The 22,212-nt window shown below is 48.0% G+C and overlaps 1 protein-coding gene across 1 annotated transcript, besides 4 other annotated features; it reads left to right on the forward strand.

The window, feature by feature from the left end:
* Positions 513-1,735: a transcriptional cis regulatory region, noted in NCBI's record as "promoter|chrX:47092063-47093285 region (GRCh37/hg19 assembly coordinates) targeted for CRISPR interference". NCBI's record gives its function as "positively regulates HDAC6 gene expression in K562 cells {active_cell/tissue: K562}" and the evidence as "EXISTENCE:mutant phenotype evidence [ECO:0000015][PMID:31784727]".
* Positions 513-1,796: a biological region, named in NCBI's record as "CRISPRi-FlowFISH-validated HDAC6 regulatory element 1". NCBI's record gives its function as "regulatory_interactions: HDAC6".
* Positions 738-787: an enhancer, noted in NCBI's record as "active region_29588". NCBI's record gives its function as "activates an Ori minimal core promoter by ATAC-STARR-seq in GM12878 lymphoblastoid cells {active_cell/tissue: GM12878}" and the evidence as "EXISTENCE:reporter gene assay evidence [ECO:0000049][PMID:35858748]".
* USP11 (ubiquitin specific peptidase 11) lies at positions 858-16,177 on the forward strand. Its single transcript, NM_001371072.1, has 21 exons — positions 858-1,068; positions 6,919-7,028; positions 7,200-7,330; positions 7,639-7,756; positions 8,154-8,299; positions 8,436-8,497; positions 8,623-8,725; positions 9,126-9,299; positions 9,390-9,548; positions 9,931-10,155; positions 10,288-10,371; positions 10,475-10,569; positions 11,245-11,451; positions 12,347-12,399; positions 12,531-12,773; positions 12,865-12,935; positions 13,219-13,331; positions 14,921-15,070; positions 15,153-15,268; positions 15,460-15,548; positions 15,642-16,177. Exons 1-21 carry the CDS (start codon positions 893-895, stop codon positions 15,777-15,779), a joined length of 2,763 nt encoding a protein of 920 aa, NP_001358001.1. The 5' UTR covers positions 858-892; the 3' UTR covers positions 15,780-16,177.
* Positions 1,213-1,796: an enhancer, noted in NCBI's record as "NANOG-H3K27ac-H3K4me1 hESC enhancer chrX:47092763-47093346 (GRCh37/hg19 assembly coordinates)". NCBI's record gives its function as "activates a minimal SCP1, AML or CMV promoter by ChIP-STARR-seq in primed H9 embryonic stem cells {active_cell/tissue: H9 hESC(primed)}" and the evidence as "EXISTENCE:reporter gene assay evidence [ECO:0000049][PMID:30033119]".

The raw sequence follows: 22,212 nt of genomic DNA on the forward strand, positions 1-22,212 counted from the left end.
AAAGAGTTTTTGCTTATGTCATATAGCCTCTGGATTCAGAAGCCTCTGGATAATCACACTGTACACCCCTGAGAGAATGAGAGTGAAAAAGTATTGTGAAAATAGTTTTCATTTTGTGAAACCCCAAGAGGATTTTTGGACCGGTAGACAGGCTGGGACCACTGGGACCACACGGTTGGAGAATGTTTGGCCTGGTGTTTAAGGTCACAGCTCTGAAACCAGATTTCTCAAGTCTAAACTGCAGCTCCACCACTAATTAGCTGAGGGACGTTTCTGGTACTCAGCGTCCCCATTGTTACCCATGGGTGACAAGGACAGTACCTGCTGCCTGAGGCTACTATTTTAGTCCAATAAAGCACTTAAACTGGGCGGACAGCTAGTTTAGTTATGATTGCTATGACTCCAACAAACATAGGGCCTGGGGCTAACTTGTCTTCAACACCTTGTCTAGTGAATAAATCTAGTTCAGGAAGAGAAACAACAGCCCGCAGGCCTCGGTGGGTCTCTGGAGGTGGAAACCTCTTTTGCATTGGGTTTTGATGGTACAATGAAGGGCATTCTGATCAGGCTAACAAAAACACTGCTCCCAGGGTAGGAGTCCTAGCCCACCTCGGGAACCTCAGCCTCCACTTTCCATGCCACCTGTGCCCTAAGTCTACAGGGCGTTAGGACCCCACAAGGCACTTTTGTCTTTCTTGGTTCCCACTGAAGATTTTACCCCACCTAGCCCTTCGACGCGTCTGTGCACGGGGCCATTTCCAATATGGCAGTAGCCCCGCGACTGTTTGGGGGGCTCTGCTTCCGTTTCCGGGACCAGAATCCGGAAGTGGCTGTTGAGGGGCGTCTTCCAATCTCGCACAGCTGCGTTGGCTGTAGAAGAGAACGGACGGCGATGGCGACGGTCGCAGCAAATCCAGCTGCTGCTGCGGCGGCTGTGGCGGCGGCAGCGGCGGTGACTGAGGATAGAGAGCCACAGCACGAGGAGCTGCCAGGCCTGGACAGCCAGTGGCGCCAGATAGAAAACGGCGAGAGTGGGCGAGAACGTCCACTGCGGGCCGGCGAAAGCTGGTGAGGCTGGGCTGCGGTGGAGCCTCGGCAGAGGGAACGGTGGGGGCATTGACAACCGCTGGGGATTCGGCGGCCGAGGGCCGCGGGAAAGCTGCTGCGGGGTGCGGGGGCGGGGGAGTGGCCGGCGGGACAGCGGGCTAAAGGGGCGGGGAAGTGCCTTTGAATGAATCGCAACGTCTGGAAAAGGGGCGGGGCCTGTGTGGTGCAGTCTGACGCCTGAGAACAAAATGGGGTTTGTTGTGATGAGACCAGTTTCGGTCCTGGAGGTGGGGCCGGGCCTGCGTAGTGAAACTGCGTAGGAACCTGGGAAGAAGGTGGGTTCTGCTACATAAGGCGGGGGCGCGGCCTGCGCTGCGTAATGCAACTTTTGGGGGCGAGGAGCGGTTTCCGATTGCTCCGGGGCGGCTGGGAACGAGGCGAGCTTTGTGACGTCAGCAGAAGAGCGGGATGGAGCCGAACGGTCCGAGGGAGGGAGCGGGGACCTCCGTGGGGGAGGGGGGAGGAGCCTGGAGCCTGGGAACGAGGTTAGGTTGGTGACGTGAGCTGAGGGGCGTGCTCTGAGGCCGAGGGACGACAGTGGAGGGGAGGTGGTGCCTATGAGGCAGAAAATGGCGCCTGCGAATAAGCAAAGTTTATGACGCGCCGTGGTTTTTGATTCTGGCGGAAGCCTTCCCGAGTCGAGAGAACGTGCAGGTGATTAGCACCGGAGGGGCCTTCCATGTTTAATTGGTTTTCTGTGTTGGTACTGTTTTGTTTTTAGAATCAAGAAAAAGTCGTTTTTTTAAAAAATAGAATTTTGATAAATCGGCTTGTTTTACTGATTTCTTGCTAAACAGTCCTTCTTGAAATTTACTGCTTCTGAGTTCATTTTATTTCTCGCCGAGTTGCATCTCGTTTTTTAATTGTGAAATACGTAAGACTTAAAAAGATTATATAAAACATTTACGCAGCCCAGATTGACGGACATCCTGTTAAAATAAACGGCCTACACTCTTCAAAAATGTCAGGATCATGAAAGACAAAGGCTGAAGAACTGTTCCAAATTGAAGGAATTAATGCAATTTAACGAGTCATGATAACTAAATGCAACATGTGATCCTCGATTGGATCCTGGAACAGAAAAAAAAATTATTTTAAAAATCAATTTTTTATCATAAGATTATTTTTGTCTCTTTTACTGTAAAAGGCAATGGAAACGTCGGTGAAATTTTATTAAAGTGGGTAGATACTAGTACTACTAATAATTGTGATCATTGTGGCTGTGAAAAATAATATCCTTGTTTATAGGAAATACTGAAAAATTTAGGGATAAGAACGCATCGTGTAAGCAGTTTATTCTCAAATGCCTGAAAAATTAGCATATATAAATTTATATATGGCGAGGGGAAATAAAATTGGGGAGATGTTGGTCAAAGGATACAACATTTCAGTTAGACAAGAAAAATAAGTTCAGATCTATTGTACAACTATAGTTAATAAATTCATTGTATACTTGAAAATTACTGAGAGAAGATTTTACATGTTCTACCACCCCCCAAAAAATAAGTATGTGACGTAATGGATGTGTTAATTGCCTTGACTTAGTCATTCCACAATGTATACATAAGTCAAAACTTCATGCTGTACACTCTAAATATATGCAATTTTTGTCCATTTTAAAATAAATAAAAATACCAAAAAATGCATGTAAAGAAACAACGATTGAGCAAATGAGTAAAATATTAGATTTGGAGAATCTGGATGAAGGACATATGGGGATTCTCTGTATTATTTTTGCCATTTTTCTCAATCTATTTCAAAGTTTAAAAATTAAATAATAAATAAAAACGTGTGAATTCACCATCCATGTTAAGATTCAGAACACTGTCTTAAGAAATCCTTCTGTGCCCCTCCCAGATGGAAATTCCCCTCCTTGCTCCATGGGAAACTGTTATCCTGAATTTTGAGTTAACAGTCTCTTCCTTTTCTTTAATGTTTTACCACAGCTGTATGCATCCCTAAGCGGTATGTATTGTCTAAGCTTTCACTTTATACATATATGGAATACATATATATAAAATTCTACTGGATGCATACTGTGAGCCCTTATCTTCGCATCGGGTAATACATGGTATCCACATGGCATCATTGGTGATGTTAACCTTGATCACTTGGTTATGGTAGTGTTGGCCAGCTTTCTCAACTGTAAAGGTACCATTTTCCTCTTTACATATGCAGTAATTATTTTTAAAACATGTATCATGTCCAGCCATTCCTCAAAATACTCTTAACAGCTTCCCATCTCTTGCAGCGTAGATGCTAAAATCCTTACAATGAATTGCAAGCCTTTATGAAGCTGGTCTCCTGCTTGCATTCTGATGTCTTCCCATATCTCTCCTCTGATTACGCACTCCCTCCCTGTCTCCATCCAGGCCGGCCATATTGGACTCTTGCTGTTCCTCAAACACATCTAACCTTAGGGCTTTTTCGAGTGAGGTTTACTCACTACAGAGTTCTTTAATAACCACACCAGTGAAATGTGTATCTCTGTTACTGGGGAGATGAGTTGAGATTTTCCAAATCGGGAATACAAACCCAAGCCGTGTTTTTCTGCCATTACGTCACACTTTTCCAGCAAGAAAAAGCCTCATTTCATCCTGAGAATAAACAAAATAACCACAGTGTTTTGTAACTCATTTGAAGATGTTCAAAAGGGCCTTGAGGCTTTGATCCTTGCCTCTTCCTACCTTTGTAGCCTTGTGATTGTGTCACTGGTAGGACATGACATCCTGTCATCCTTGATAATACGCTTTAAAATTACCCCACCAGTACTGGGTTTTCTTTTGGGATGATGAAATATTTTGGAACTAGGGAGAGGTTGTGGTTGTACAACATTGTGAATGTTCTAAATGCCGCTGAATTGTTCACTTTAAGATGGTTAATGTTATGTTATGTGAATTTCACCTCATTAAAAAAATTACCACACCAGTGTTGGTTCAGTGTTGAAGCCGGTTTGTCTCTGCTGTCATGGGTATTATCATGAAGCATTTTTGCTAAACTCCACTTTGTTAATGCTTCTCTAGTAAGAGCAAAGCATCTCAAGGTTCTTTATTGCTGTCCATTTTCCATTTTACAGGGGTTTGCTTAAGTGGCCAGGATATATGTGTTTATAAAGCATTTTGAAGTCATGGACTAACCCCAAATCATATATCTTGTATCAGTATTAATATTTGCACCTTCTGTCTTTTGTCAGCTGGCAGATTTGGGTGAGGGTAGTTAATTAATTTGGTCATCACAACTGATTTAATTTCTGGGAGAAGCTTGTATTTTAAGGCAAATTCAAATCTGTAATAATATAGCCTCCTTGGAAATTTTCACTTTTTCCTTTTGTGGGATGAACCATCTTCAAACACAAATCAGACACAAGAGAAAACTAGAAGACAGAAAATAAAGAATTGTTTAGCAACTTTTTTCCATAAGCACATATTTCATATCATTTCAACAAATTTGAGGAAGCACGAATAAACCTAAGTGACTTTAGCAAGATCAGTTGTACCTGTATATACTGGCAGCAAGAAACTAGAAAATTAAAATTTATGATACCATTTATGATAGCATCCAAAAAATTGAATACCCAGCTGTAAATATAATAATTTGGGTGTTATTGATACAGACCATGACACCTTTGTTGTGACTGCCACCTGGCCTGACAGAGATTGTGAGACATCCTGATTTCAGAGATGTTAACAATGATTTTTTTAAAGTGTCTTTGACTTGAAGCAATATGGTAATAATTTTCTGTGAAAAATTATGTAAAATGTCAGTCCTCTATGAAATCTATAGAAGTTCAGCCTGTGACCAGGTCTGGAAGTTTTGCTTACCACTCTACAGCGTGATTTTAATGTTATTTTTTGTTCAAAATCTGCTCTTAAAAAGAAGTTGAGCAGTGCCTACCTTTGCATTGGAAGGTACTGTTAACTATAGCTTTACTGAACAAATTAACTTCATAGACTGGCTATGGAGGCAAGTAAAGCCACAAAGGGTGGATGGTGGTGTGTGGGGTGCAGGGTTGGGTCTGAGCATTGAGCCACCGGCACAGAAGGGTTTGTTTCCCTGGTGTGAGTGATATGGGGCAGGGTCTGTGGGGGTCAGTGCAGCAAAAAAACAAAACCAACAAAAAACCCACAGAAATGTTTGCCTATCTAGGTGACTTGTGACTATTCCAAGATTTGTCTGTCCCTCCATCCTCCCACCTCTCTGATCCTTTCATGAACAAGGGAAAGTTGACATTTTAAAGAATCACATTGATGAGGTTAAATTGGGAGAATCGCTTGAACCCGGCAGGCAAAGGTCGCAGTGAGCTGAGATTGTGCCACTGCACTCCAGCCTGGGCGACAGAGCAAGACTCTGTCTCAAAAAATGATAATAATAATAATGAGGTTAAATTGCTTGAAAACCAGCCAATATAATGTTATGTGCATTTCATCAAATTTGGTTATTTTTTAAAAAGCATTTATTTGAGGCTGCTCAGTATTTGGGATAGCCTTTTATGTGTCAGAAATGCCACAGCAGAACAGGTGTGTGTGTATGTGTGTGTGTGTGTGTGTGTGTGTGTGTGTGTGTGTGTGTTTAGGCAGGAGGAGGTTTATGTCTGTGAGCTTTTATGTCCAAGTCCTGAAGTCCAAGCTGTCAGAACAATGACAGCTAAAATTCATTTAGCACTTATTATATGTCAAGTATTTTCCAAACTTCAGGATTTCTCACAAAGGTAGATTTCAATATAGTTCTAAATGGTTATCCTTGTAGTACATATAAGTTTCACCTTTAAAAGAGAGCTAGTTGAACTGTATACTGAAAAATGCTTGATGGTAAGTTTTATGTTACATGTTTTTATCACAGTTTTTAAGAGAACCATAAGCTCAGGAATTTACTATAAAGCCAAAGTAAATTCTAAATTAAAAAATGATGAACAATAGCAATATGCAGTTCTTTTTTTTTTTTTTTTTTTTGAGATGGAGTCACTCTGTCGCACAGGCTGGAGTGCAGTGATGCAGTCTCGGCTCACTGCAACCTCTGCCTCCAGGGTTCAAGTGATTCTCATGCCTCTGCCTCCCAAGTAGCTGGGATTACAGGCACGTGCCAGCACACCTGGCTAATTTGTTGTATTTTTTAGTAGAGACGGTTTCACCATGTCAGCCAGGCTGGTCTTGAACTCCTGACCTCAGGTGATCCACCCGTCTTGACCTCCCAAAGTGCTGGGATTACTGGCGTGAGCCACTGTGCCCGGTCTTTTTTTTTTTTTTTTTTTTTTTTCAGTATGCAGTTTTTGAAGGAAAACCTTATGATTCTTTTTAGCATTTTAAATTCTTTGCTCCTTTTAAAAGCAGATTTTTCACCATTTATCAAATCTAGTTCTTAGCTGAAGAATTATGCTTCCATTGATAGATCCTTTAGAAACAAACACATAATGAATGGCTAAAGCCTTATAAAATTAGCTGCAGATGGCACATATCTTGAGCCTAACTTAACTGGGTTATCCCACAGACTAATTCAAATGAATCATCTTTTATTCTATAATAAAACCTCATGTTTCCTAGCACTATAAGTATGGATTTTTTGTTGGTTTGTTTGCCATTGTTAACCACATTTTCTGTTTTTAATCAGATTTCTTTTTTAATACTAAGAAGTTATCTAACATACAAATCTGAGTTTCACTGAATAAATTTTGCTTCGAATTTATTTTTATATGATGCTGAAACTTTTCATCTTAAATTATAATGTGTCAATACTTTCAGTCTGTTGGGCATGGGAAGTTGTATAGCTAACCCTCAGCTACCCATGTAACACCCTTGTTACCTGTCTGGGCCCCAGGTTCCTTGTGGAGAAGCACTGGTATAAGCAGTGGGAGGCATACGTGCAGGGAGGGGACCAGGACTCCAGCACCTTCCCTGGCTGCATCAACAATGCCACACTCTTTCAAGGTACAAGGCCTTTGCCTCCTTCTCACCCTAGCCCTGGAGTTCTTGTCCCTTCCGTCCCTACAGATGATCATAAGCCCATTCTGTGTGCTAGGTCACTGGTGGGGTGGCCAGAGTCATTCGTCAGTTTCCTTTGTTGATTCTTCCTCTGCCACCTCCACCCCCGCCCCACAGATGAGATAAACTGGCGCCTCAAGGAGGGACTGGTGGAAGGCGAGGATTATGTGCTGCTCCCAGCAGCTGCTTGGCATTACCTGGTCAGCTGGTATGGTCTAGAGCATGGCCAGCCACCCATTGAACGCAAGGTATAATGGATGGGGAGGGTGCATGGCGGGGAGTGCGTAGTAAGAAAGCCTTGTAGGCCCAGCATGGGTACAGATCCATGTATGCTGGGTAGGTACACATATGTCTGCTCTCTTCCCCCTCCTAGCTCATCATACAGGTATCTTTGTCTGCTGTGTGTGTTCCCCTGTGTGGCTCTCTTTACAGACCATTGTATATGTGTGTTTGTATGCTATGTTTGTAAGGCAGAGTGTGTGCTCCTCTCATTTGAGAGGTCACAGCGCTGTGTCTGTGTGAGTACACCTGTGTCTGCACCCCTCTACTCTTACAGGTCATAGAGCTGCCCAACATCCAGAAGGTCGAAGTGTACCCAGTAGAACTGCTGCTTGTCCGGCACAATGATTTGGGCAAATCTCACACTGTTCAGTTCAGCCATACCGATTCTATTGGTGAGTCTAAGGGTCACGCAATGGGTTGGTGTTCCTAGCTACTAGTCCCAACTCAGTGACTTGAGGTTGCATAGGGTTAAGCTGAAGCTGACTGAGAAGGCACTGGTCAGACTTTGGAAGACCCAGAAGGCATTGGCTAAGTTGGGTGGAGGCACTGAGGGGATCTACTAGAGCCCTGAGGGTATGTGAGCTACATTCTAGTGGCTTACGTGGTGTGGCAGAGGATATTTGCTGGAGATCTCCAGTCTGGAGTGTGGGCCAGTCATTTGGAGACTGATTGAGGACACAGGTATTGGCCAAGCATGTGAGGTCCGTAGGGATGAGTCAGGTATGCCCAGATGGATTGATCATTTTGGGTCTCACAAAGATCTTGAATGTACTCCATCACCCCGCACAGGCCTAGTATTGCGCACAGCTCGGGAGCGGTTTCTGGTGGAGCCCCAGGAAGACACTCGGCTTTGGGCCAAGAACTCAGAAGGCTCTTTGGATAGGTTGTATGACACACACATCACGGTTCTCGATGCGGCCCTTGAGACTGGGCAGGTAAGGGTGGGGAGGGCTTTTCTGTTCAGGTGGACTGGCAGATAGACTCACCTGGCAGTACTCGGGGGAAATGAAGGCTAGGTACCCATAATGTCCTCCATTAATACCTTTCCTTCTTTCTCTTTCTCCAACCCAGTTGATCATCATGGAGACCCGCAAGAAAGATGGCACTTGGCCCAGCGCACAGCTGCATGTCATGTGAGCCCTTGGGGTATCTGGTCCAGAGCGGGGGCGTCCCACAGTAGGCAAAATGATTTAGCCCATGAGCACATTGCACCCCCATGCAGCAGGCCCTCAGCTGACAGTTTCTCATCTAACCCCAGGAACAACAACATGTCGGAAGAGGATGAGGACTTCAAGGGTCAGCCAGGCATCTGTGGCCTCACCAATCTGGGCAACACGTGCTTCATGAACTCGGCCCTGCAGGTTGGGCCATTATAGTTGTGTCTGGCACAGCCACGTGGTTGGGCTTCAAGAGCTGAGGATTGGGGACAGAGCTGGGGTCCTGAGGGGACTACAGGGCAAGGGGTCAGGATGAAAGCTGAGGCCCCACAAGTCTGAAGTGGCACGCCCACGTTCATTCCTGAACTATCAGCCTCTTCTCTCAGCTTGCCCTCATTTTCCCTCTTCTCTTCCCTGTTCCCACGTTCTTCCTTCTCGTGAAATCCTAATGCCTTCTCTCCCCTACTCTCCTGCTCCTCTCTCTCCTCCCTTCCCCTTCTCTCTTGTTTTCCTCTCTCTTTCCTCCTGGCTTCTTTTTGTGTATCCTCACTTTGAACCTTCTGTCTCCCCTCTGCCTCATTCACCTGGTCTCTGGCCTCTGCAGTGCCTCAGCAATGTGCCACAGCTCACCGAGTACTTCCTCAACAACTGCTACCTGGAGGAGCTCAACTTCCGCAACCCACTGGGCATGAAGGGTGAGATCGCAGAGGCCTATGCAGACCTGGTGAAGCAGGCGTGGTCTGGCCACCACCGCTCCATTGTGCCACATGTGTTCAAGGTGTGACTCAACCCTGGGCACCCCCGACCCCCTACGTCTCTTGGCTCTCCTAACTCCCTCTCTCTCTGATGACCCTGCCCATCTTCTTAGAACAAGGTTGGCCATTTTGCATCCCAATTTCTGGGCTACCAGCAGCATGACTCTCAGGAGCTGCTGTCATTCCTCCTGGACGGGCTGCATGAGGACCTTAATCGGGTGAAGAAGAAGGAGTATGTGGAGCTGTGCGATGCTGCTGGGCGACCGGATCAGGTAGGCTGCCCCCGCATTTGCAGTCCAATTAACATCACCAAGGCCTCTGCCTCGGGGATTTTCTGGCCTCCCTGGGGTATCTAACACGCCACCATTTTCTGTTAAGTTTCTCTACCTGACCTCAACTCCAGCCTTACTCTTAACCTTAGTTGCAATACCATATCTGCCCCCACAGTCAACCCAGAGTAAACCCCAGCGCAGTCTCCTGCCCTAAATGACCCCCAGTCTTGACCGTGAACATAGTCTCTGTGTATCCCTAGCTGGAGCTCTGCCTCTGGACTTTAGCAGTGGCCTTCCGCTTCACCCCATTTGAATGCACCCCAAGCCATGGTTTCCTCTTACCCTGGGCAAGCCCCACCACCCACCATGACACTATCAACAGGAGGTGGCACAGGAGGCATGGCAAAACCACAAACGGCGGAACGATTCTGTGATCGTGGACACTTTCCACGGCCTCTTCAAGTCCACGCTGGTGTGCCCCGATTGTGGCAATGTATCTGTGACCTTCGACCCCTTCTGCTACCTCAGTGTTCCACTGCCTATCAGCCACAAGAGGGTCTTGGAGGTCTTCTTTATCCCCATGGATCCGCGCCGCAAGCCAGAGCAGGTGTGGGGCAGTGGGGGCCTGGGGAGATGATGATGGACACATAGAGTTTGATTAGCTGCCATAGCTCAAGGCTTCTTGCATTAACTCACCACAAGCCCTTTTGGTCTTTTGTGGATACCGTTTTTCCCTTAGCACCGGCTCGTGGTCCCCAAGAAAGGCAAGATCTCGGATCTATGTGTGGCTCTGTCCAAACACACGGGCATCTCGCCAGAGAGGGTGAGACTGCAGAAGGAGGCTGGATGGGATTCCAGGGCAAGGAGGCAGAAGGGCCTGGGAGGCCGTGCAGACTAACAGTCCCCTCTCCATATCCCATTCCTAGATGATGGTGGCTGATGTCTTCAGTCACCGCTTCTATAAGCTCTATCAGCTAGAGGAGCCTCTGAGCAGCATCTTGGACCGTGATGATATCTTCGTGTGAGTGGGGATGGCAGGGAGGTGGTGGTTCCTCAGGAACTTGGTCCACTTCCTTTTGTATGGTCCTGCCTTAACCACCTTCTCTCTTCCCTGCCTCTGCCTCGTTCACTGGGCACCTGCCCTGCGCAGAGCTTCAGCCACATGCCTTGGGAGGCTGAGGCAGGAGAATCACTTGAACCCGAGAGGTTCAAGTGAGCCAAGATCACGCCACTGCACTCCAGTCTGGGCGACAGGGCAAAACTCCATCTCAAAAATAAATAAAGCCGGGCGCGGTGGCTCACGCCTGTAATCCCAGCACTTTGGGAGGCTGAAGCAGGCAGATCACGAGGTCAGGAGATGGAGACCATCCTGGCTAACACGGTGAAACCCCGTCTCTACTAAAAATACAAAAAATTAGCCGGGCGTGGTGGCAGGTGCCTGTAGTCCCAGCTACTCGGGAGGCTGAGGCAGGAGAATGGCATGAACCCGGGAGGCGGAGCTTGCAGTGAGCCGAGATCGTGCCACTGCACTGCAGCCTGGGCAACAGAGCGAGACTCCGTCTCAAAAATAAATAAATAAATAAATAAAAATAAAAATGCCTTCAGGCTGTGAGGATGAGTGGGTGGGGCAGCCAGGGCAGAGTCAGGGAGTCTCTGGGGGCCCTGATCAGGTGTGCCTGCTGTCCACCCCCCACAGCTATGAGGTGTCAGGTCGCATTGAGGCCATTGAGGGCTCAAGAGAGGACATCGTGGTTCCTGTCTACCTGCGGGAGCGCACCCCTGCCCGTGACTACAACAACTCCTACTACGGCCTGATGCTTTTTGGACACCCCCTCCTGGTATCAGTGCCCCGGGACCGCTTCACCTGGGAGGGCCTGTATAACGTCCTGATGTACCGGCTCTCGTAAGTGTCCTCTTCCCCGGGGGTGGGGGGCGGAGGGGTCTGAACTCCGACTTGGGTGTTTAGCTGCTTATTTGACACCTCCCCTGTAACAAACAAAAGACAGTCCAAACTTAACATGGCCATAGAAGAACTTGTAGGGTTTTTTCTTTCTCTAGACCTCTGGCTTTGCTACTGCCTGTCTTGGGTGCTAGGGATACAGAGGTGAACAAGATGCACAAAACAGACAACTTCATCTTGTCTTCAGTTGTCTCTCCTGGAGACTGTTGTCCCTCCTGGGAGAGTCTTGGTTTTTTTGTCTTTTTGCTGACAAATTTTCATTTTGCCTAAAATCTAGAGTCTTTACTGTGGCACACAAAGCATTGTGTTATCAGAATTCTCCCCCCTCATTTTGCATTCAAAAGTCATTCCCCAGAGGCTTTCCCTGATGGGAAGTTACAGCCGGTATGTGTCTTGTCTAGCAGTGGCTTATTAGAGTAAAAGTCCACGCTCCATACCTTTTTTTTTTTTTTTTTTTGAGATGGAGTCTTGCTCTGTTGCCCAGGCTGGAGTGTAGTGACATGATCTTGGCTCACTGCAACCTCCATCTCCCGGATTCAAGCGATTCTCCTGCCTCAGCCTCCCAAATAGCTGCAATTACAGCCGCGCGCCACCACGCCCAGCTAATCACACTCCACACCTCTGACTGGGACACAAGTTCCTTCATTCTCAGGCCACTGCTGACAGCCTTGGCCTCTTCATGCATTTACGCGTCACCCCTTCAGCCCTCTCACACCTCAGATTCAGAACGGTTTACATGTGGATCTACCAATGGCTTCCCATTATCTTAAGTAAAATCCCGGGCTCTATCCCCACTGTCCTTGTACCCGTCTTGGGAGTCTCCTCTGCTCTGTTGCAGACGCTACGTGACCAAACCCAACTCAGATGATGAGGACGATGGGGATGAGAAAGGTGAGGGGGCTAACAGTCAGTGGGCGGGGGCTCTGGGTTAGGTCTGACCCACGTAGGGTTCGTCTAGGTGTGCATTGCAGCTTAGCACTTGAGGCTCACACCTTCCCATCTCTGACATCCTCCTGTCCTAGAAGATGACGAGGAGGATAAAGATGACGTCCCTGGGCCCTCAACTGGGGGCAGCCTCCGAGACCCTGAGCCAGAGCAGGCTGGGCCCAGCTCTGGAGTCACGAACAGGTGCCCGTTCCTCCTGGACAATTGCCTTGGCACATCTCAGTGGCCCCCAAGGCGACGACGCAAGCAGCTGTTCACCCTGCAGACGGTGAACTCCAATGGGACCAGCGACCGCACAACCTCCCCTGAAGAAGTCCATGGTATTTCCTTTGGCTATCAGCGAGGGCTGGGGAGGCTGGAGGGGAGATTTCCTGGCAGCAGGATCCATGACCACCTCTCCCTCACCCCCAGCCCAGCCGTACATTGCTATCGACTGGGAGCCAGAGATGAAGAAGCGTTACTATGACGAGGTAGAGGCTGAGGTAAATGAGATCCCAGGGATGGGGGGTACTTCCAGCTCTTGCCCCTCAACTCTTCGTACATCCTCCCCACAACTCCTCTAGCTGGGAACAGAGCCAAGAGATCCAGGTCAAGCTTGGCCTTGGGGCCTGAACACCTACTGAGAGCTCCAGGGCCTGAGGTTCCTAGCTTCAAAGTCGGTGCTCTGACCCACTCAGTGTGTGTCTCCCCCGCTGGGCCCCCACTCCCCATTTCTCCATCTGTCCTCACAGCCGGCCATCTGGTTGTCTGTTCACCCAATCCTAGGGCTACGTGAAGCATGACTGCGTCGGGTACGTGATGAAGAAGGCTCCCGTGCGGCTGCAGGAGTGCATTGAGCTCTTCACCACTGTGGAGACCCTGGAGAAGGAAAACCCCTGGTGAGGGGCCAGAGCGGGGCCTGTGTGTGGGGGTTTCATTGGATGGAACTACTATATTTAGCTTTTTTTTTTTTTTTTTGAGACAGAGTCTGGCTCTGTCAACCCAGGCTGAAGTGCAGTGGTACAATCTCGGCTCAGTGCAACCTCTGCCTCCCAGGATCAAGCTGTTCTCCTGCCTAAGTCTCCTGAGTAGCTGGGATTATAGGCACCCACTACCATGCCTGGCTAATTTTTATATTTTTAGTAGAAACAGGTTTTGCCACGTTGGCCAGGCTGGTCTCGAACTCCTGACTAAAGATGATCCACCCGCCTTGGCCTTCCAAAGTGCTGGGATTACAGGCGTGAGCCACCACACCTGGCCTATATTTAGCTCTTTAAGTATACCTTCCTCCTCCCTCCTCCACACTCAAACCCTTCTTGCCAACCTGGCCACCAATCTCCTGAGCAGACTCCTACCCCAGAGCCTTGGCCTGTGCTGTTCCTTCTCCAGGAATGTTGTTCCCAGTGATCTACAGGACTTCACTCCTTACGATGCTCAGGTCTCCGATCAAATGTGACCTCATCAGAGAGACCTCCTCTGACTACCCTGTTAAAAATCACCCTTCCCCACCATCCCTCTCCATCCCCTCTCTGCTCTTTTCTTCCTAGCCAAGCATTACTTTCTAGCTCAGCGATGCCACTTGATGTGATGTCCTGTATCCACTTTTGTGTTATTTGTCATCTTCGTTAGAGTCAACTCCTCGAGGGTGAAGACTTAAGTTCACTGTGTGTTGCTTCTACCTGTTTATAATAGTGTTGAGTGTTCGGTTGATGCTCAGTAGACACTTGCAGAATAAACAAAAAGAGAACCAAAACCACACTCCCTAGTCTCAGAAATAAGAGCAGCATGTCCGTGGAGCAGAAATGGAACAGAAATACAAAATAGTTCCAAAGGGTTAAACAAGCAATCAATAAATACTGGGGAGTGAATGAATGACTAAAATACGAAGAGAGGAAACTAGAAGGATAGAGGTGGGCTCTAAAATAAGACTAGCATCTCATGGAACAGAAATCAAACAAAAATACAAAAAATAGTATGAGCACATATACAAAAGATAGTAAGCACTTGACGAGTGAGTGAAAGGATTTTAACAGGAACAGAGCAAACTAGAATACTAGATGGGCTAATAGTAAGAGCAGTGTTTCTGTGAGCCAGACATGGCACGTGAGAGGCAGTACAAAGGGCGCACAGTAGGTGCTCAGAAAAAGTCTGTTTTGGCTGGGCATTGTGGCTCATGCCTGTCATCCGAGTACCTTGGGAGGCCGACACGGGTGGATCACCTGAGGTCAGGAATTCAAGGCCAGCCTGGCCAACATGGTGAAACCCTGTCTCTATTAAAAATACACAAATTAGCAGGGCATGGTGGTGCATGCCTGTAATTCCAGCTACTCGGGAGGCTGAGGCAGGAGAATCGCTTGAACCCAGGAGGTGGAGGCTGCAGTGATCCGAGATCGCGCCACTGTACTCCAGCCTGGGCAACAGAGCGATTCTCTGTCTCAAAAAAAAAAAAAAGAAAAAGTCCGTTTGCTGACTCGGGCTCTGTCTGTAGGTACTGCCCTTCCTGCAAGCAGCACCAGCTGGCAACCAAGAAGCTGGACCTGTGGATGCTGCCGGAGATTCTCATCATCCACCTGAAACGCTTTTCCTACACCAAGTTCTCCCGAGAGAAGCTGGACACCCTCGTGGAGTTTCCTATCCGGTCAGGGGCCAGGGAGAGGATGGCTGGGGGAAGGCAGGGAAAGGAGGGGGTGTACCAGTATTAACCCTCTCCCCACCCACAGGGACCTGGACTTCTCTGAGTTTGTCATCCAGCCACAGAATGAGTCGAATCCGGAGCTGTACAAATATGACCTCATCGCGGTTTCCAACCATTATGGGGGCATGCGTGATGGACACTGTATGTGCCAGGCTGTGGGTGGGGCCTGCCCTGGGGGTTCTGGGCAGGGGGGCGATCAGGACCTTCCCAGTGAGTGACTAGGGATGTGAGCCAGTGGTGAGGTTATCGTGGTGGGAGGAGTGACAAGAGTGAATCTGGACACTTCTGAGAGGCAGGAAGGGTAGGCGAGGATAACTCTCCTTCCCTTTCAGACACAACATTTGCCTGCAACAAGGACAGCGGCCAGTGGCACTACTTTGATGACAACAGCGTCTCCCCTGTCAATGAGAATCAGATCGAGGTGTGACTTCCATCCTACCTCCTCCCCTTCTTCCTTTCTGATTCCACCTCCCCACCCCCACAATCCACACTGACTCCTGTCCTCTCCCCACAGTCCAAGGCAGCCTATGTCCTCTTCTACCAACGCCAGGACGTGGCGCGACGCCTGCTGTCCCCGGCCGGCTCATCTGGCGCCCCAGCCTCCCCTGCCTGCAGCTCCCCACCCAGCTCTGAGTTCATGGATGTTAATTGAGAGCCCTGGGTCCTGCCACAGAAAAAAAAAAAAAAAAGCCCTCTCTGCAATCTCGCTTCTCGTGTCCGCCCCGCTTCTCTTATTCGTGTTAGGTGCCCCCGCCAGGCATTGCAGGCTTAGTCGTGGCTACTGTTCTCCTGTGCCGCTGCATCGCTCTCTCCCGGGAAAGAACAGGTCGTGTCTCCTCCTAGCAGTGCGCGCCCCGCCTGTGTTTGCCCTTCCAGCAGTGACCCTCCCTTCTAGTCTTTATTTATGGTCGTGCCCTTCCCTCTCCTCAGCCCAGAGTGTTCTGCGTGGGTGGTGATGGGGGTTCACCTGAACACAGAGTGTATTTTCTTATTGAGGCCCTGTACCTTCTGCTGTGTGTGTGTATATATAAAGCACCAGTCTGCTCCCCACTCAGCAGTGTGGTTTTTTCCTCCATGGACTTAACTAAGCACCAGTTTTGTGCCTGTGTTCTGTGTTCTTATCAAAGGCCAGATGTGTGATGGGTGCAGCTCTGAGTGGTTAGTGAGCACCAGCTGTGGGCTGGGTACTGCTGTTCTAAGTGCTTTGAAAGCACCCTCTGTGTGCCAGGCACGATTCCAAGCACCAATGGCATGCCCAGTTTTTTCCAAAATATTTTCCAAATATTGATACGTAATCCTCACAACAATCTCATGCAAGAGTTGTCATCTCCAGTTTCGGATGGGGATACTGAGGTACAGAGGTCACAGAATTGCTCAGGGCTTGTCAGGAGGTCAGTATACCTCATGTGCTACCCGAGTCGGTCCCTGGAGTGGGTGCTTGGCTTGTCTGGACCCAGGACTGCTACTCAATCTGCAGACATGAGCTGCCCTACAGGCAATGTGGAAATGGAGCACGTGGGACGGATGCATCCATGTGGGCAAATTTGTGGTTTGGGGACATAAAAATACTCCTCTCAGGCCAGGTGCCACCTGTTATCTCAACACTTTGGGAGGCCAAGGCAGGAGGATCACTTGGGCCCTGGATGTTGAGGTTGCAGTGATCTATGATCGTGCCACTGCACTCCAGTCTGGGCCACAGAGCAAGACCCCATCTCAAAAAAAGGATGCTATTCCCCAGACCACCTCACAGACCCCCAGTAGTGTCCTCTGAGAAGATTTTGTCCCCCTGAGACCTCCTTTGGAGATGGTACATGCATTTGGCAGACCAGCCAACCTGCCAGGACAAATGTGCTGTCTGTGTGTGGCCCCTGTAGTCAGCCCCCTCTCCCATCATGACCCCAGCTCCCACACCAGGCAGGTTCCCTCCAACCTCACCCCAGACGACACTGAACACCTGCCGCAGGAATTTGGACATAAATAAGCCATCCAACCCTTCACACTGATGGGTGAGGGGAATCCTGATCGGTGGCAGCTGAGAGGCCATTCTCATGGCCAGGGCCTCAACACTCCCCCCAGCCTTCTGCCTTTGCACTGGGTCTGGGCAGACCCACTGTGAGGGTCACTCAGCCCCAGCATCGCCACCCGCAAACCTCCCAGTCACTCTGCTGACACAGGCAGAAGTCAAGGCAGTTGCTGTGAGGAGCCCAGCTCAAACTGACTTAGCAAAAGTAAGAACAGAAATACTAGTTTCAGGTATGACTGGATCCAGGAACTCAGAAGCTGTCATCGAAGGCTCGTGAAGACCATATGACTGAAGCACTACAATCACCCCATTTTGCAGATAAGGAAGCAGGCATAAAGAGCTGGGTGAGAATGGGCTGTAAGGGCCAGGCGCAGTGGCTCATGACTGTAATCCCAGCACTTTGGGAGGCCGAGGTGGGTGGATCACCTGAGGTCAGGAGTTCGAGACCAGCCTGGCCAGCATGGCGAAACCCCATCTCTACTAAAAATACAAAAATTACCCAGGCATGGTGGCACATGCCTGTAATCCCAGCCACTTGGGAGGCTGAGGCAGGAGAATTGCTTGAACCCAGGAGGCGGAGGTTGCAGTGAGCTGAGATTGCGCCACTGCACTCCAGCCTGGGCAACAGAGCAAGACTCCATCTCAAAGAAAAAAAGGATATCATACTAAAGAACAGAAAAATAGTAAGTTTCAAACAAACGGGGAGAATAGAATGAAGAATAATAATCCAGAAGAAGGCAAGAATAAAGAAATAGAGAACAGGTGGACAAATAGCACGTACACAACAATTTGCAGATAAGATCTCTGCTCCCTCCAGTTCAAGGGAGGGAACTGGGAATGAGGCAGCTGCTTTGAGACTGATCAAGACTGCCATCGTGCCAGGCAGACAGTGGGGGAAGGGCAAGTAAAAATGCCACAATACTCCCATTTTGAAGATGGCTTTTTCTTGGTTGGACAGTTGCTGTAAACTTTTTTTTTTTTTTTTTTTTTTTGAGATGGGGCTCGCTCTGTTGCCTAGGCTGCAGTGCAGTGGCGCGATCTCCGCTCACTGCAAGCTCCGCCTCCCGGGTTCAGGCCTTTCTCATGGCTCAGCCTCCCGAGTAGCTGGGACTACAGGCGCCTGCAACCACGCCTGGATAATTTTTTGTATTTTCAGTAGAGACGGGGTTTCACCATGTTAGCCAGGATGGTCTCGATCTCCTGACCTCGTGATCCGCCCACCTGGGCCTCCCAAAGTGCTGGGATTACAGGCGTGAGCCACCGCGCTCGGCCTGCTGTAAACTTTTGACCATTGTATTTGTCTGTTCTCGCACTGCTGTAAAGAAATACCTGAGACTGGGTAATTTATAAAGAAATACCCGAGACTGGGTAATTTATAAAAAAGGCTCATGGTTCTGCAGGCTGTACAGGAAGTATGGCTGAGAGGTCTTAGGAAACTTACAATCACAGTGGAAGGTGAAGGGGAAGCAGGCACGTCTTACCTGCCCTGAAGCAGGAGGAAGAGAGTGAAGTGGGGAGGTGCCACACACTTTTAAACAACCAGATGTCATGAGAACTCACTATGGTGAGAAGAGCAAGGGAGAAATCTGCCCCCATGATCCAGTCACCTACCAGGCCACTTCTCCAACAATGGGGATTGCAATTTATATGAGAGTTGAGCGGGGACACAAGTCCAAACCATATCAACTATTTTCCAGCACTCTGACACAGTTAGCTCTAACAATTCTGTTTGCTTTTTGATGTTTCTGTTAAGGAGCCAGAGCCTGGAGCTTCCTAGTCTTCCATTTTGGTGACATCACTCTTTTTTTTGAGATGGAGTCTCACTCTATTGCCCAGGCTGGGGTGCAATGGTGCCATCTTGGCTCACTGCAAGCTCTGCCTCCTGGGTTCATGCCATTCTCCTGCCTCAGCCTCCTGAGTAGCTGGGACTACAGGTGCGTGCCACCATGCCCAGCTAATTTTTTGTATTTTTTTTTTTTTTTTTTTTTTTTTTTGGAGATGGAGTCTTGCTCTGTCGCCCAGGCTGGAGTGCAATGGCATGATCTTGGCTCACTGCAACCTCCACCTCCCAGGTTCAAGCGATTCTCCTGCCTCAGCCTCCTGAGTAGCTGGGATTACAGGCACGCGCCACGACAACCGGCTAATTTTTGTATTTTTAGTAGAGACAGGGTTTCACCATCTTGGCCAGGCTGGTCTCAAACTCCTGACCTCGTGATCCACCCGCCTCAGCCTCCCAAAGTGCTAGGATTACAGGCGTGAGCCACCATGCCCGGCCTAATTTTTTTGTATTTTTAATAGAGACGGGGTTTCACCATGTTGGCCAGGATGATCTCAATCTCTTGACCTCATGATCCACCTGCCTTGGCCTCCCAAAGTGCCGGGATTACAGGCGTGAGCCACCATGCCTGGCTGACATCACTCCTCTTCTGTGTTATGGGTTTTTTTTTTTTTCCACACACAACATGGATTTTTATCTTTTCTTTTTCTTTTCTTTTCTTTTTTTTGGGGGGGTGGTATAGGATCTCACTATGTTGCCCAGCCTGGTCTCAAACTCCTGGGCTCAAGGGATCTTCCCTGCCTTAGCCTCTCAAGTGGCTGGAATTATAGGCCTGAGCCACTCCACTATGCCTAGCCCGCTTTATCTTTTCTTGGCTTATCAACTATAACTCTTAGATTTTTGGTTTGGGTTTCTTTTTTTTAAAAAAAATTATTATTATTATACTTTAAGTTTTAGGGTACATGTGCACAATGTGCAGGTTAGTTACATATGTATACATGTGACATGCTGGTGCGCTGCACCCATTAACTCGTCATTTAGCATTAGGTATATCTCCCAATGCTATCCCTCCCCCCTCCCCCCACCCCACAACAGTCCCCAGAGTGTGATGTTCCCCTTCCTGTGTCCATGTGTTCTCATTGTTCAAGTCCCACCTATGAGTGAGAATATGTGGTGTTTGGTTTTTTGTTCTTGCGATAGTTTGCTGAGAATGATGGTTTCCAGCTTCATCCATGTCCCTACAAAGGACATGAACTCATCATTCTTTATGGCTGCATAGTATTCCATGGTGTATATGTGCCACATTTTCTTAATCCAGTCTATCATTGTTGGACATTTGGATTGGTTCCAAGTCTTTGCTATTGTGAATAGTGCCGCAGTAAACATACGTGTGCATGTGTCTTTATAGCAGCATGTTTTATAGTCATTTGGGTATATACCCAATAATGGGATGGCTGGGTCAAATGGTATTTCTAGTTCTAAATCCCTGAGGAATCGCCACACTGACTTCCACAATGGTTGAACTAGTTTACAGTCCTGCCAACAGTGTAAAAGTTGGGTTTCTTGTTTAATTTTTAGAGACGGGGTTTTACTCTGTTGCCTAGGCTGGAGTCCAGTGGTGCAATCATGGCTCACTGCAGCCTTGACTTCCTGGGCTCAAGCGATCTTCCCAGTTCAGCCCCCCAAGTAGCTAGGACTACAGGCGTGTGCCACCATGCCCAGCTATTTTTTTTTTTATTTTTTGTAGAAATGGTGTCTCGCTATGTTGCCAGGGCTGGTCTCAAACTTCTGGGCTCAAGTGAGCCTCCTGCCTCAGCTTCCCCAAGTGCTGGGGTTGCAGGCATGGGCCACCACGCCCAGCCAACTGTTGGTTTTATTTTAGCGATTGCTTTAGGGTTTATATTATTCACCTCTAACTTATCATAGTCTACCTTCAAGTGATATATACCACTTTGCATACAGTATAAGATGTTTAGTGTACTTCCATTTCTTCTTGCTCAGCCTTTATGCTGTTGTATCATGCATTTTACTTTTACGTATGTTATAAACCCCAAAATACACTGTTATTTTTATTGAAACAGTCCATTTTCTTTTTTCTTTTCTTTTTCTTTTTATTGTGAGACAGGGTCTCACTCTGTTGTCCAGGCTGGAGTGCAGTGGCAAAATCATAGCTCACTGCAGCCTTGAACTCCTGGGCTCAAGCACTCTTTCCACCTCGGCCTCCCAAAGCACTGGGATTCTGTACACATGAAATACAATTTTTTGGCCAGGCGCGGTGGCTCACACCTGTAATCCCAGCACTTTGGGAGGCTGAGGTGGGTGGATCACCTGAGGTTGGGAGTTTGAGACCAGCCTGACCAACATGGAGAAACCCCATCTCTACTAAAAATACAAAATTAGCCAGGCTTGGTGGCACATACCTGTAATCTCAGCTACTCAGGAGGCTGAGGCAGGAGAATCGCTTGAACCTGGGAGTCGGAGGTTGCGGTGAGCTGAGATTGCGCCACTGCACTCCAGCCTGGCGACAGAGTGAGACTCTGTCTCAAAAAAAAGAAAAAAGAAAAAAGAAAAAAAAAGAAATACAATTTTTTGTAGAGAGGAGGGTCTCTGCAAAAAGCTACTGTGCCCTGACTCACCTTATTTTTTTAAAGATATTTTCATGAGTATAGAATTTTAGGTTGACAGTTTTTAAAAAATTTTTTATTACTTTGAAGATTTTTTGTTTTTGTTTTTGAGATGGAGTCTTGCTCTGTCTCACCCAGGCTGGACAGCAGTGGTGTGATCTCGGCTCACTGCAGCCTCCACCTCCTGGGTTTAAGCAATTCTCCTGTCTCAGCCTCCTGAGTAGCTTGGACTACAGGTGTATGCCACCATACCTGGCTAATTTTTGTATTTTTAGTAGACACGGAGTTTCATCATGTTGGCCAGGCTGGTCTCAAACTTCTGACCTCAGGTGATCCACCTGCCTCGGCCTCCCAAAGTGCTGGGATTACAGGCGTGAGCCACTACGCCCGGCCGCTTCCCAGTCTTCTTGTTTGCATTGTTTCAAGTGAGAAATCTGATGTCATCCTTCTCTTTGTTCCTATGTATATAACATGTCCCATTTTTCCCACTGGCTGCATTTAAGATTTTCTCTTTAGCGCTGGTTTTGAGCAATTCCGTTATGGTATACCTTGGTGTAATTTTCTTCATGTGTTTGAGGTCGTTTGAGCCTTCTGGATATGTAGGTTTCTGGTGTTCATCAAATTTGGAAAAATTTTGTCCAGTATTTCTTCAAAAACAATT

Source organism: Homo sapiens, chromosome X (assembly GCF_000001405.40).
Source record: "Homo sapiens chromosome X, GRCh38.p14 Primary Assembly".
NCBI lineage: Eukaryota > Metazoa > Chordata > Mammalia > Primates > Hominidae > Homo > Homo sapiens.